General features: G+C 50.8%; 1 protein-coding gene and 1 long non-coding RNA gene across 8 annotated transcripts in view, besides 4 other annotated features; one reads left to right on the plus strand and one right to left on the minus strand.

Moving 5' to 3' along the window:
* Window positions 1–5,372, minus strand: part of PRKAG2 (protein kinase AMP-activated non-catalytic subunit gamma 2) — a 320,989-nt gene extending 315,617 nt beyond the window's left edge. For all 7 annotated transcript variants that reach the window (NM_001407031.1, NM_001407030.1, NM_001407023.1 and 4 more), the window contains exon 1: window positions 4,764–5,372. In NM_001407031.1, coding sequence (NP_001393960.1) covers window positions 4,764–4,877 — 114 coding nt within the window. In that variant the 5' untranslated portion in view covers window positions 4,878–5,372. The remainder of the gene's footprint in view (window positions 1–4,763) is intronic.
* Window positions 4,115–4,234: an enhancer, noted in NCBI's record as "active region_26872". NCBI's record gives its function as "activates an Ori minimal core promoter by ATAC-STARR-seq in GM12878 lymphoblastoid cells {active_cell/tissue: GM12878}" and the evidence as "EXISTENCE:reporter gene assay evidence [ECO:0000049][PMID:35858748]".
* Window positions 4,425–4,564: a silencer, noted in NCBI's record as "silent region_18826". NCBI's record gives its function as "represses an Ori minimal core promoter by ATAC-STARR-seq in GM12878 lymphoblastoid cells {active_cell/tissue: GM12878}" and the evidence as "EXISTENCE:reporter gene assay evidence [ECO:0000049][PMID:35858748]".
* Window positions 4,625–4,674: a silencer, noted in NCBI's record as "silent region_18827". NCBI's record gives its function as "represses an Ori minimal core promoter by ATAC-STARR-seq in GM12878 lymphoblastoid cells {active_cell/tissue: GM12878}" and the evidence as "EXISTENCE:reporter gene assay evidence [ECO:0000049][PMID:35858748]".
* On the plus strand, window positions 5,299–7,480 carry PRKAG2-AS1 (PRKAG2 antisense RNA 1). The gene is made up of 3 exons (NR_038926.1): window positions 5,299–5,397; window positions 6,094–6,123; window positions 6,819–7,480. It is a non-coding gene; the product is annotated as a PRKAG2 antisense RNA 1 (long non-coding RNA).
* Window positions 5,437–5,866: a silencer, noted in NCBI's record as "silent region_18828". NCBI's record gives its function as "represses an Ori minimal core promoter by ATAC-STARR-seq in GM12878 lymphoblastoid cells {active_cell/tissue: GM12878}" and the evidence as "EXISTENCE:reporter gene assay evidence [ECO:0000049][PMID:35858748]".

A 13,808-nucleotide genomic window follows, 5' to 3' on the forward strand; every position in this document is an offset into this window, starting at 1 on the left:
GAAGCGGGCAGTGGGGACATTCAAAATCATCAGAGCCCGAGAGAGGAGGTTTGCAACAATTGCCTCCAACACCCTAGGCCACGGTTCTGTTTATGATATGGGCTGGAGGCTGAGGTCCCCAAAACGACTCAATCCAATTCAATGAAGAGACAAGCTGCTTGGGCACTAGGGGTCCGAGGAGGCCACCAAATGACCCCAGTCACAGGCCAGCCAGGGCCACAGTGTCTTTCAAGAGTTATTACTCCTCAGAATCCAAGATGTCCTTGGCAGTGGCAGTCCCTGCACACCACAGTCCTCTGAGGCTGGGGTGAGGAAGCAAATGTGATTCCCCATGGACGTGCTGCCCTCTGCTGAGACACACCCGGGCTATGACCAGACTCATCATTTCCCCCAAGAACCGGCCCCTTATCCCAAATACCTCCACATCAGTTCCTGCCACCTCAACCCCTTGCCATCCACTAGGCTGGCCTTCTCACGTCCCACGTCTGCCCTTCTGCATTCTCTCATCACAGCTGCAGTTCAGGCCCTCGGACCCTTACCCTGGGGGGGGGCTTTTGCCAAAGTACTTGAGTTGGTTTCCTTGACACCAGCCCGTTTCCCATCACTCCACTCTGTACACTTTTCCAGGCTGATTCCCATGGAATGCTGTTTTCTTTACCTTTAATGGCTTCTTAGTTCAGGTCCCCCCAGAAAAGACACTCAGACAGGAACTTAGGTTCAGGAGTTTATCCCAGGGAGTGCAGACAAGGGAATGGGGAAACTGAGGCAGGAACTGGCCAGAAGGGCCAGTAAGGTGCATTAACGAGTGGGTTACACTGTGGATCCCCACCCTGCTAGGGATCCCCTGAGGCATCCTGCAGAACCCAGGTCAGAACTTCCCACTGAGCAGCAGGGCGGCTGGGCCATTGGCCACCAACTGGACCCCTCCTGGGTTGAGGGTTGCCCCTCAGGGCATAATCCCAGCACTTCCAGGGGTTCCTGCACTAGGCTGAGCAAGCTGCCAGGGTCTGAGAGGATTCCTTCAGGTGGGGAGGGAGACACGAGTAAGAGGCAGTCCACCAAGGCTGCAGGTGAGGGTGGGCTGGGCCCCAGGCACCAGGAGGAGGCTATCCACAGCGTCCACCGCAGCTTCTTCACGCCTTCAGGAGGGGGTCCTCACGCCTTAGGCCTGGTCTTCAAGGCAGCATTGCCAGATCAAATACAGGACGCCCCCATTAATCTGGGATTTCACATCAACAATGGATACTTTTTAGTATTTCCCAAATATTGTATGGCGCATACCTATGCTAAAACATGATTCATTGTCTACCTGAAATCTAGATTCAACTAGGCATCTTGTATTTTTAGTTACTACAGCTGGCAACCCTATGTCCAGGTCCTTCCTGATCCAGTCTCAAAGCATTTCCTATGACTCTAGCTCTCAAACCCTTTCGCCAGGAGGCGTGGCTCTTCACCTGGAAGCAGCCATCCCCTCCCGCCCGATTCTGTGGGGTGCTCCCACTGGTTCCTTAGTGGGAGTATCACCCCCACTTCTACGTGACTCCTGCCTGCCATCTCTGGGTGTAAAGTCTCTCTAAACACATCAGGCCACTGTCATCGCTCCTTCTGCCTCTAGAAACAGGTGTGGTCTGCACTGGCCATCGTATGACCCTGGATCATTTGCTAGCCTTTGTCTGAAAGCCTCATTTTCCCAGCGAGGTTATAACTGCCACCTAGCCTGGCACAATGATCCATAGGTAATGACCATTAGGCAGATGAGGGGACCTCCCTGGTACCCAAAGCAACTGCAAGCCCTGTGAGGACTTGGGCAGATCTTCCCCAGATCTCACCCTAACCAGAGCCTGGGCACGTGGTCACCCTCAGCCACTGTGGAATAACTGAATGAATACTACTTTCGCGGTGGGCTGGCTCATGCCAAGAACGTTATGAAAAGCTGCCAAAGTCACCACTGGCAGCAAGAAGGGTGGTCCGAGGACCCCAACTATAACATGGTTTTTCAACGTTCACGGCCTGGCCTCACAGTCCTTTTTCTGGTTCTGGATTTTGTCTCACACTATCGCTGGCACCACCCCACGGGCACGCCCACACATCACTCACACCCTGCATTTGGAACCAGCCTCAGCATGTGGCTGCCACACAAAATGGCCCAACCACTGGACAATGGCATGTTCTTGTTTCTCTCTATATATTTTTTTAAAAAACTAGGTGTCTGATGTATATGTATATGTATATGATGTATATGTATATGTATATGATGTATATGTATAAGTATATGTATATGATGTATATGTATATGATGTATATGTATGTATATGTATATGTATATGATGTATATGTATATGTATATGATGTATATGTATATGATGTATATGTATATGTATATGATGTATATGTATATATGTATATGTATATGATGTATATGTATATGATGTATATGTATATGTATATGTATATGATGTATATGTATATGTATATGATGTATATGTATATGATGTATATGTATATGTATATGATGTATATGTATATGTATATGATATATATGTATATGTATATGATGTATATGTATATGTATATGATGTATATGTATATGATGTATATGTATATGTATATGATGTATATGTATATGTATATGATGTATATGTATATGATGTATATGTATATGTATATGATGTATATGTATATGTATATGATGTATATGTATATGTATATGATGTATATGTATATGTATATGATGTATATGTATATGATGTATATGTATATGATGTATATGTATATGTATATGATGTATATGTATATGTATATGTATATGTATAAGCCATACATTTATAGGACACTTTACACTTGTCAAGAGTTTTCCCGGGATGGGTGTGATGGCTCACGCCTGTAATCCCAGCACTTTGAGAGGTCAAGGTGGGCGGGTCACTCGAGCCCAGCTCATGTGGACCAGCTTTGGGCAACATGGTAAAACCTCATGTCTACAAAAAAAATAAATAAATTAGATGGGTGTGGTGGCACATGCCTGTAGTCCCAGTTACTCAGGAGGCTGAGGTGGGAGGATCACTTGAGCCTGGGGAGGTTGAGGCTGCAGTGAGCCATGATTGCACCACTGCATTCCCACCTGGGGAGCAGAGTGACACCCTGACTCAAAACAAAAAAAACAATAAAAAAGAGTTTTCCCATGAATTACTTTATTTCAATATCCGTATAAAGCAGGAAAAATGGGTATTATTTCCTGCATTTGACAAATGGGAGAAACAGTAGTTACACGGTTAGCTCAAGTGATCACTGTTTAAGAGGTTTGTGGCAGCAACATCTAACTTTTAACTCACGAACATGGTTTTAAATGTCTTACATGAGAGATGTAAACAAGAATGTTTCATTTTCAAATAGAACACTTATTCCTGCATAATCGAGTCACCACCGTGGGGGCCACACAGCAGCCAGGGGTCCAAGTTTCCAGCCCCAGAGCTTTCCAGCCAGGGAGGGCTGGCCCAGGGCCCCTGTGGGGCTACTTGGCATCAGGTGTCTGGAGACCCGCCCCTGGACTCCACCCTCTTCACCCAAGCGTTAGGCACGTGTGGGCCGGAGTTTACACAGGAGGACCTTAGCGGGGCGTCTAAAAGAAGGGTGGCTCAGCAAACACGGGGCAGTGCGCCCTGGGATTCACAGTGGGAAGTGAGTGGCCTGCCTCGGCCATGCCAGCTGCGCCTGACCCTGTCGGGAAGGATTAGCTTTAATGAGGGGTCCGGACAGCCCATTCACTGCGCACTCCCACCCTGCCCCGGGAGAGCAAAATAACTTTCTCTACGGAGCACTCTGGTGTGTGTGTGTGTGTGTGTGTGTGTGTGTGTGTGTGTGTGTGTGTGTGTGTACACAAACATTTACTTGGTTGGCTGAGGCGGAGGGTGTGACCCAGTGGGCCACACCTCCCACCGCCCTACCCCGCTACGTGGAGGCGAGGAACAGTGGCCGCGGGCTACCGGGGCGCCTTCCGAAAAGAGAACCACTACGCGGCCCGCCGCCCCTCTGGCTGGACAAAGTGAAGCCGCAGGCAGATCCGAGTCGCCAATGTCCTCCCGGGCGGCTGGCGCGGACGGGGCTGAAGTTCAATGCAGCCTGCACGGATTAGGGAGCTCCGAGCCCCCAAATACCACAGAGACCCAAAGTACACTCCCGGGGCGGGGGAAGGGAACGGCGGCAGAGGAGACCCCCGCTCCAGGCCCAGAAACGCCCGGAGAGAAACTGGAGCGGAGGGGGTGCATTGGAAGACGCAGCTACACAGCTCCCCCCAACCCCCGCCCCGCTGCTTTCCCCACCCACCGCCCCTCCCCTCTCCTCCCTCCCCTCCCCTCTCTCCGTCTCCAGCAGCCGAGCGCGGGCTCCACCTCCCCGGAGCGCAGTCCACACCGTCCCTTTTCAGCAAAACAACACAACGCACCGCCCCCCGCACCCGCACCCGGCTGGATACCGGGCTACGCCCAGCCGCCCACCCGCCGCGCCCGGCGCCCCCTCTAGTCTGCAGCCGCCCAGCCCCCGCCCCAGGCGGAGCCCCAGCCCTGGCTGCACGCGGGCAGAGAGAGAGATTGAGCCCCGGCTCCGCCAGCCCAGCTCGGGCCCTGTCCCTCTACCCTTTCCCCAAGCCGCCCGAAGTGACAGGAGGGGCACGCACGGCGCGCGCGGGGCGTCCAGCGTTAACCGCTTCGGCGCCGGGGACGGGAGCGACAGGAGGGCTGGGGAGCAGGGGACCGAGTGCTGGGACTCACCGGAATGTGCACGCGCAGCGAACGCCTCTTCTGGCTGGCATTTTTCTTGCCGCCGCTCCCGCCGGGGCTGGAAACATCTTTTTTCTTCTTGGTGTCCATAACCGCGCTTCCCATAACTCTAACCAGAAGTTGATTCTGCGAAACTCCTCGGGGGTTCGGTCCCCTCCTTCCCTCCCCCGGCCGCTGCCTTCGGACTGGAGCCGCGCGCTCTGTTACACCCTGAAGCCACCTCGTGGGGACTTCCGCGGAGAGGGAGGGTGAGCAGGGAACTCGCGCGGCCGCCGCCGCCGCCGAAGCGCCGAATTCAAGCGTCCTTTCCTACGGAACCCTCGTAGGCAAATCAGTCAAAGCCCGTCCCGGTTCTGGTGTCTCCCCGGGTTACTCGTGGCTGAGGTCTCCCGCTGGGTGACAAAGTTTTCTTCCTTTTGCAAAGCTAAGAAACATTTTCCACCCTCTCGGCTCCTCCCACAGATTCCCAGAGGTAATCTGAAAGGCAGGTGCAATTAAAACCAGCAATTTGGAAAACAAGCCTCCTATGCCTGTGCCCAAGTGGGGAATCTGGAACCAGTAAGCCCGTTCGTGCATAAATGTAATCCTCGGCCGCAGAATAAACCAGCTCGGAGCCTGCAGCTGGGTCCGTCCTCCTTTCTGGGCGAGAGGGAGGGCGGCGGGGGAAGAGGAGGTGCAAGGCGAGCCCTCTGCGCAATTAGGCTACGGGCGGCCGCTGGCAGAAGTTCTGGCGGCGGCGCTCGCGGCCCTGCGCGCCGGAGGGGGCGCCCGGAGTCCAGCGGGCCAAGAAGGGCAGGGCGCCCGCTCCTCGCCCCCCGCCGCGCCGCGGCCCCAGGGGACCGCAAGGGGACAGTGAGGGGCCGGGCCTGGCACCGACGCAAGCTCGGGGAGCGCGGGTGGTGGGAGGCGGCGCGTGTTGAACAGGAAGTGCGCGGCGTGCAGCGCCACCGTCCCGCTCCCCGTCGCCCCACGCCGCCCTCGTCGCCGCGCCCAGACCCCTGCGGCGGCCGCAGCCGCTTGGGACTCGCTGCGAGCTGGTTTCGGATCCATCCCGCCTCCCGGCGTCTCACTGTGTGCCCTACCCTTTGAAACACGCCCCCGCGCCCGCCCTGCCGTAGACCAGGCAGCGAGGAAGCCCACAGTCTCCGGGGGCGCTGCGCGCGAAGTAGCACGTGCTTCTCGAAACACCGCAGCCCCCGGGTCCCGCCCCGCCCGGCGCGCGCACTCGAACCCGCCCAGAGAGCGGTGCGTGGCGCTGGGTGCGAGCAGGGTCTAGCCACCCCCACCCTCACCCCACCCCACCCCACCCTGCTTTTTTCAGGTTCATCAAGGTTTGCGCAGTGGATCCGCGGTAAGTGCGTGTCCCCACGCCGCGGGAAACGTGGGGCTCCTGAGACTGCGGAAAGAATTGGGAGAAGGGGAGGGCTCGAAGACCCGGGCGAGGGTTCCCGGTGCGGCCCAGGTCCTTTAGAGCCCCGGGTGGGCATCCAGTACCGCCTGCTGCCGAGGGCCCTAGAGGGGTTGGGGGAGGGGGCTGGTGTGTCCCCCACCCCCAGATGCGCCCCAGGATGGCGCGACCTCGGCTCCCTGGTGGAAAGTAGGGGGAGTGCTGGCTTGGGGGTCGCTTCCCCTCCTGCTCTAGTTTCTGAGGATGTGATGACCCCAAAGGTCATTGGCGCTCCCAGAATGCTGACGTCAGCTCAGCCGCTCCGAGTAATCAGTAATGCAGGGAGGCCACCCGCAGAAAGAACGCGACAGGGGTCGCTTTGGGGACACCATAGGGCCTTTACTCCTTTTGAGGTGCGTGCTTTCGCAGGACTCCCTCCCCAGAGGAGGAGGCATGATCAGCCCACCCAAAGGATCATCTCTTAGGAAGCAGGCGTGCGCCCACGCAGGGAGAAGCATCCTTCCTTTCAGCTGCTTGCCGGGTGGCTTTTCCAACCCGAGTTCCAGCAGCTTGCACAAAATCCTTACAGCTTGGGTGGTTCCCTGGCTCATAGGGGTGGGTTTATATTCTTTCTCCTTCTCCTCTGCTCTCTGGTCCAGAATGAAGCCAGCCTGGAAGATCCCCAGTCTCGAGACAGAGCCTGACAGGGGCAGATGCACTGGAAGGACCCTGTCTGGGTTTAGCAACCAAGCAGCCATCCTGGCCCCACAGGTGTGGGACTTCTGGGTCTTCTCCTGGCTGGCTTCTTGCTAGAGGATTTCAAGAGACCCAGCAAGACTGTATTGTCCCACTGAATGCTCAAGATATTGGTTAGAAGTAGAAAAGGGGAGGGGGTAGTATTTAGCCTCTGTCCCCACTAAAAATTATTCCCAATTGTCATTTGTGTCATCTGTTTAGCTTACAGTTTTAATCCTTGTCAAAATGATCATTTGCCAGGGTGCATAAAACACCCTATTTGATGAGAACTGGTTTTAAAGGAAAATGGGGCCATCAGAAGGAAGCCGGTTGGTGTGAAGAGACGTCTGGGAAGAGCCCCTGGCGAGGGCCCTCATTCCACTGGGTGACCCAGAAGGAGAAAACCGCGATGGCGCTTCTCATTTGAAATGTTTTCTTTATGGACAGTGTTTAGCAATTGTTATAATGTGTACTTTTGTTGATTGATCTGTATACATATGTAAAATAATTTGTTCTCTGAGTTAATTTTGTTGGAACAAAGACTTTAGTGCTTCCTACATTAAAACATTTTACTGTATTGCCTGCATTTTAAGAGCCTTTTTTTAATTTTTAATTTTTTTGGTCCTTGTGATATGACGAGGTATAAATTCTGGGTTTTGTCCAGGGTTCCTGGCTTAGCACTCTCGTCGCCCTCATCACAGTCTCTTGTTATAATGTTGGGGCGCTTTAGGCCTCAGACACCCCAGGAAACAATCTCCTCTGAACTTCCCCTGCCCTCCTTCACCACCTCACCAGCCCAAGGCAGGACTCTAATCCTCCCTCATCTTTCTGATTGTGGGACTTAAGACCCTCTATTCAGAAGGGGTCCTGCCCCATTCCCGAGAGGAAGAAATCCTGCACGGAAAGGCCAATAACGGTCGGAATAGGCAGGACTTGTTTGGGTGTCCACACTTACTCAGTCACTATTGGATCATACCTTTTTGTTCGATCACATTTCTGCATGGTCGTCAATCGTGTCTGTCCAATGAAGTCTCCTTAAGAAGCCCAAGAGGTCTGGGTTTGGGGGCTTCTGGATCCCTGGACATGTGGAGGCTGCTGGAAGACGGGGTGCCTGGGAAGGGCATGGAAACTCCGTGCCTGTTCTCCCTGTACATCCCATCATCTGTGTTCTTGGTAATATGCGTTATAATAAACCAGTAAATGTACATTTCCCTGAGTTCTGTGTTCCACTCTAGCAAATTAATGAACCTGAGAGGGGGTTGTGGGAACCCCAATTGAGAGCCCAGCCTGTCGGTCAGAAGCTCCGGATGCCTGGACTTGCAACTGCTGTGCGAAGTGGGATGGGGGTGGGGTGCCTTGGGGATTGAGCCCTCAACCTGTGGGATCTGCCACTATCTCCAGGTAGACAGTGTCAGAAATGAGTTGGAAGACACCCTGGTGTCTCCTGCGGAACTGATTGCTTGCTTGGCAGTGGGGAGAACCCCCAACACACACATATGGTGACACGAACCTTCCGCGTTGATGATTGTCGTAGCGTGAGAGCAGAGGAAAAAACAATTTGGGATTTTTCCCTTCAGGGTTCTATATATGAATATTTCTGAATTATGGGGGTTGCTTATAGATGATGTCAGAAGAAGTTTACCTGCCATTTTTTTCCTTCTAGAGATACATTAACAAATTGATCACATATCTTCTGACTGGTGGAGTCTCAGAGTGGAAGGAACACAGTAATTGTTTTGATTTGAGGTGTTTTCTGAAAACCCCCGTCTTCCCCTCCCGTTGGTGTGCACACAGTTATTTTAGCCAGGAGCTAAATGTCGCGGGCCCACGCGACGTTGTTCATATAATGACCCCTGACATTCACTCTTTCTCTATGCCCTACCTATGACCTCCTTCTCAACATTAATGCAGTAAAATCTGTGCTGAACAAAAGGCCAAAACTTTAAGTAAGGCTCTGACAATGTCACTGATTCTGCCTTTTGCCTCCGGTGCCAATATTGCTCGGCTCAGCACTGTTACTGATCCTGTCTTTGTGTAAAATTCTAATGTTTAGAAATATATTGCATTACATATTCTTTATCTTGGTGACTGAGTTTTTGGCACCCCCTTAAATTTTGCACCTGAGGCCAATGCCTCATTCACCTCCCCCTCGTCTTCCGAGAAGGATGAGAAGGAGAACTTGGCCAGGCCTGGAGCTGGGGCTGGGGCTGGGGCTGGGGCTGGAGCCGGGGCAGGGGCTGGGGCTGGATCTGGGGCTGGGGTCAGGGCTAGGGCTTAGGCCAAAGCACCCAGCTTGCTTCAGCCAGAGGAGCTGCCTCTGACCAGCTATGCAATGGGGGCAGGTCCCTTAGTTCCCCATCTGTAAGAGAAGTGGGATGGTCTTCAGAATATTTCTGTGGCCTCTTTAAGGGAGCTTGTATTTTTGTCCTGATTGTATTTGGTATGTCTTTGTTAATTGTATTGCTCTAGTAATTTATTTTTTATTGAATTTTACAAAGTATCATTCCACAGTAAGTTGGAAATTAAAAACAAACAGAAACAACTAAAAAACCACCCAAGGCCCTTCCTACAGATGGTTTGGGATAGCTTGTTGGAGAAAGGGGCATATTGAGTGTATCAGTCTGTTCCCATGCTGCTAGTAAAGACATACCTTAGACTGGGTAATTTATAAAGGAAAGAGGTTTAATTGACTCACAGTTCCACATGGCTGGGGAGGCCTCACAATCATGGTGAAAAGCAAGGAGAAGGAAAGACACGTCTTACATGACAGCAGGAAAGAGAGAGTGTGCAGGGGAACTCCCATTTATAAAACCATCAGATCTCGTGAGACTTATTCACTATCACGAGAACAGCATGGGAAAGACCCACCCCCATGATTCCTCCCACAACACATGGGAATTATGGGAGCTACAATTCAAGATGAGATTTGGGTGGGGACACAGCCAAACCCTATCACTGAGGCTGCTTCCCGTTGGGGGCATCATTGGCCCAGGCTGGTGAGCATGAGGGTTAAAAACATGCAGCTTCTATTATGTGACAGTGCCAAGGGCTCATACACATGTTAGCACATTGAATGGGGGAGCAGATATGATTGGCACATTTTATACCACACATGTGTTTGTGTCGTTGCTGTCCCACTATATTAGTATCCTAGACCAACATCACCTGCAAATACTTGGGGTACCCATTTCTGAATGCTGTCAGCTCTCAGGGATCCTGGTCAACACACTGGCCTGCCAGGGTGAGCCACCTCTTCCCCAGCCAGGCAACATTTCATTCAGAGGTGATAATTTAAAATGCTGCACCCAGGTCCAGGGCCTACAACCCGCTGAGAAGTGAAATACCCACAGTAGGAGAGTTAACGTAAAGGAAATCCTTGATCAGAGCTTATGAAGGGGACACTGGCTATTTAATTTCACTTAATCTGGTTTTCCAAACTTACGTGTTCCCTTACGCCCACCCATGCTTTTTTTTTTTTTTAATTTGGCCTGTTATTCCATATAAATAAAAATGACTTTGAAAACCATGAGTCATCTTTATATAGTATAGACAGTCTTAGAATTGGGGGTGTCCTCATGGGTTTGAAGTCCAAGCTTACTCTGGGTGCTTAGAATGTAGCAGTTAGAAGCTTCCTCTGTAATCAGGAGATGGATGTCTGTGTCTGATGAGTTCCCAACCTCAGTGACAGTGGATTCCACATTGCAAAGAAGAAAGGAACTTTTTGATCACTAATAACATGCCAGGCACCATGTTAGGTACTTCATATTAACTATCTCACCCTAATTTCCACTAAAATCCCTGAAGAGAACGATCACATCCACTTTACAGATGAAGGGAACAGAAACCTAGTTGCTGGAATCCGCTGGCATTCATTTCACTTCTGCCCGTGAGTATTAATTGGCTGTGCCCTCTAGGAAAACATAAAATATGTGGCCCCTCTGCTTTTAAGAACTTTGCTGAAGACTCTTTAGGAAATGCCTTTGGGATAACCTTGGACCGTCTAAGAGAGACCAACTAAGAACATCTTAGCTGCCTTGGTCTATTTGCCTGTGACACAAATGGAGAGAGCAATGGTCTGTATATGCAGGAAGACAACAACAGCTCAATTTTACAACTCTTAGAAAAACTAAACAGCAAGTTCTGGGCTCAGGACTCTGTAAATGCTTTGATAACTTATTGAATACCAAGCTAAGGGGGTGTTATCTAATTGTGAAAAACAGGGCAAATAGTCACATTCCAGTTTTTATTTCCTTTAAGCTTGGGCAATGGTTGTGTAACCTTGTGATGGCTTTTGCTCCCTGGTACAAATGGAGTCATTAGTATCAATCCACGCAGAGAAGTGGAGGCAGGGGCCCAGGACCAGCAGGAACACTGCTTTGGGACAACACATCTCCTGACTGCCTGACTGCCCCTTTCTGGGTCCATTTTATTTTCCCGGGCACCTGTGCCAGCCACCTCCTTGGTCAGTGCTCCAGGTAGCTCTTCATCCATGATGCCAGTCAACCATAAGGAAGTCCTCATCGTGAAATCCAAGAAGTACTTTGGATTAAGGTAAAGGTGAACCCTGTAGCAATGTTCTCCCAAACGACAGATTTGCTGTGCATATCTTCTCTCTAGAGAATAGCTTCGTGTCTTGGCCAGCTCTGTACCTAAGCACACACTCAGCAGTTCTACAGAATGACAGATTCACCAAACAGGGCATGTGTATCCACAAGCGCTGTGCAGTGAGGAGGTGTCTGTTTGCTAAATAATAGAATAGGGAATCCCCAGCAATGATGCCCCCTTCCTGACTAAGGGTAGCCGTCATGTAAACAGCATTAGTTGGGAATAAAGTCTTTGGTTCTGCTAACAGCTGCCTTTATAATTGTTTTGCAGAGTGTCCCATGTGACTTTTATCCTAGTGATCCGGCATTACCTCCCACTGGGGTGGAAGATTTGGTCTCCCTGGGCTGCAGAATTTGACTAAAGGTCTGTGTGTGTTGGTTCTTGACTTAGTTATGAGCTCTCAACATGCAATAAACATCCTGATTAACCTTGGGAAATCTGAATACTACTATTACCTGAATATGGCTCTTGACTGGTTTCTGACCTCTCACCCATCTATGGGCACATGATTAAGTAATGCAAATTAATTGTAATAATTTCCCAAGCAAATAAAATTATTTTGGTAATGATATTGGCCTCAAAGTTCGTACATTGCAATGCAAATCTGACTGTTCACTTACATGAGAGGGTCTGTCTGAAGCTCTGGTTTGCCTGCACCACTGATACCATCCATTCCAGTGATATGCAGCTGATACCCAGACCTGGTCTCTAGAATGCCAGTCATGGCTTCTCAACAAGACTCCAGAAAAAATAGATTTGCATGCTATGCCTTCGGACTTGGCAGCATTTGCAGAGCAGAGCGCCAGCTCATGTTCCAGAGGACCAGGTGCACAGAGGCAGAGACCCACTGACCTCCAAGCCGTGCTAGAGAGGCACAGCATCATCCTGACTCTCTGAAGAAGCTGTGTTCCTCCCAGAAGCCACTGACAAACCCTGAGCTAGACTCAAGCATGACCTTTCCAGAATTTATCTCTGTCCCTGTTCACTAGCACTTTATGCCATAATCAATAAATACGCATTTGGTGCATGCCAAAGCCCTCAAAGATGGTTAGTTCAAAAACTCTAGCCATGCAGGTGGTTCTCAAGGACATAATGGTTTATGACAACACTCCCTGTGCCATGTGGGTCAAAAGGTAATTTTTAAAATGTTCCTAAATCTAACTCCTAAGAATTGTGTGAGGTCTTGGGACAGTGAGGAACTTTCCAAGTAGAACTCTGTACCATGGGCTTGCATAAGGTTCTTTGAGATCATTGCAACACATGCTCCTGATAGCACCATTGTACGAAAGGTCTTGCCTTGTTTTTTTCTAGCCCCACTTATTGTAGCTTTTTACTCTCTAGGTCAAAAAATAAAGCATAATTACAAAACTAAGTTCATTGTTCTTTGACCTGCATGAGAGAACATTTTCCTGACACTGTAAAGCTTATGCGCCCATGACCTGAAGGAGTTGCCAATATCTTACAGGGATGGAAGCAGACATTGCTTTGGGTATCCGAAAGGTATCTGTGAAGGAGTGGGTGGGGTTCATTGCCAAAGCACAGCATTCGCCAAAGGCCCCCGGTGCTCACTGTGGTCAACACTGAGGCCAGCAAATTTGTCTGTGATTCTTGCAGTTAGGACGCAAGGAGAGCAGCTGTTTCTCATGGAGCTTCAAGGAGAGTCCGCCTCGGTAGGACCATTGGTTTCAACCCTATTCTTTATCTTTCAGGTTTAAGAAGCTGGTGCAAACTGTTCACCAAGATGTTCACTGACACATCTCTAGAACGGTGTCATGGTAACCATTTCCCCAAAGACTGACTTACGGTCCAGTATGGGGCTGTGCTCATTTGCGTGGGGATCTATTTTTGTGTGGCCGGTTCCCTCTGCTCTTAGATCCATTCCCTGACCTGCCCGGCTATGGACTGCCAGGGCCTCTAGTCCCAGGATCTTTCACCAACTGGTGTCCGGCGAGCTTTGGCCAATAGGAGAGAATGGAAGAGTAGGAGGGCAACAGAAGCCAGGGGATTCTTCTGCTGTTATTTTGCCTTGAGCAGCATCATGGGAAGCATTTCCTGCCTCTGTGGCTGTGGCCCCACTAGCCTGACCCTCCCTCAGTGGGCCCAGCGTCTGCCGGGCAGCCTTGACTGTGGCCCTAGAGTCACGGAATACTCGAGCAGACCTCTGACGGACATGGTGGGGTGAGCCATGTGGGTCGCTGGGGAGAGGATTCCAAAACAGAAGGGTGAGATCGGGGTGTTTGAAGTTGGTGAGAGAAAGAGTGGTAGGACTTAACATATTGGACAGTAAGGGCCTTGGCTTTTATCTGAGT

The sequence above is a fragment of the Homo sapiens genome, chromosome 7, assembly GCF_000001405.40.
Source record: "Homo sapiens chromosome 7, GRCh38.p14 Primary Assembly".
Classification (NCBI taxonomy): Eukaryota; Metazoa; Chordata; class Mammalia; order Primates; family Hominidae; genus Homo; species Homo sapiens.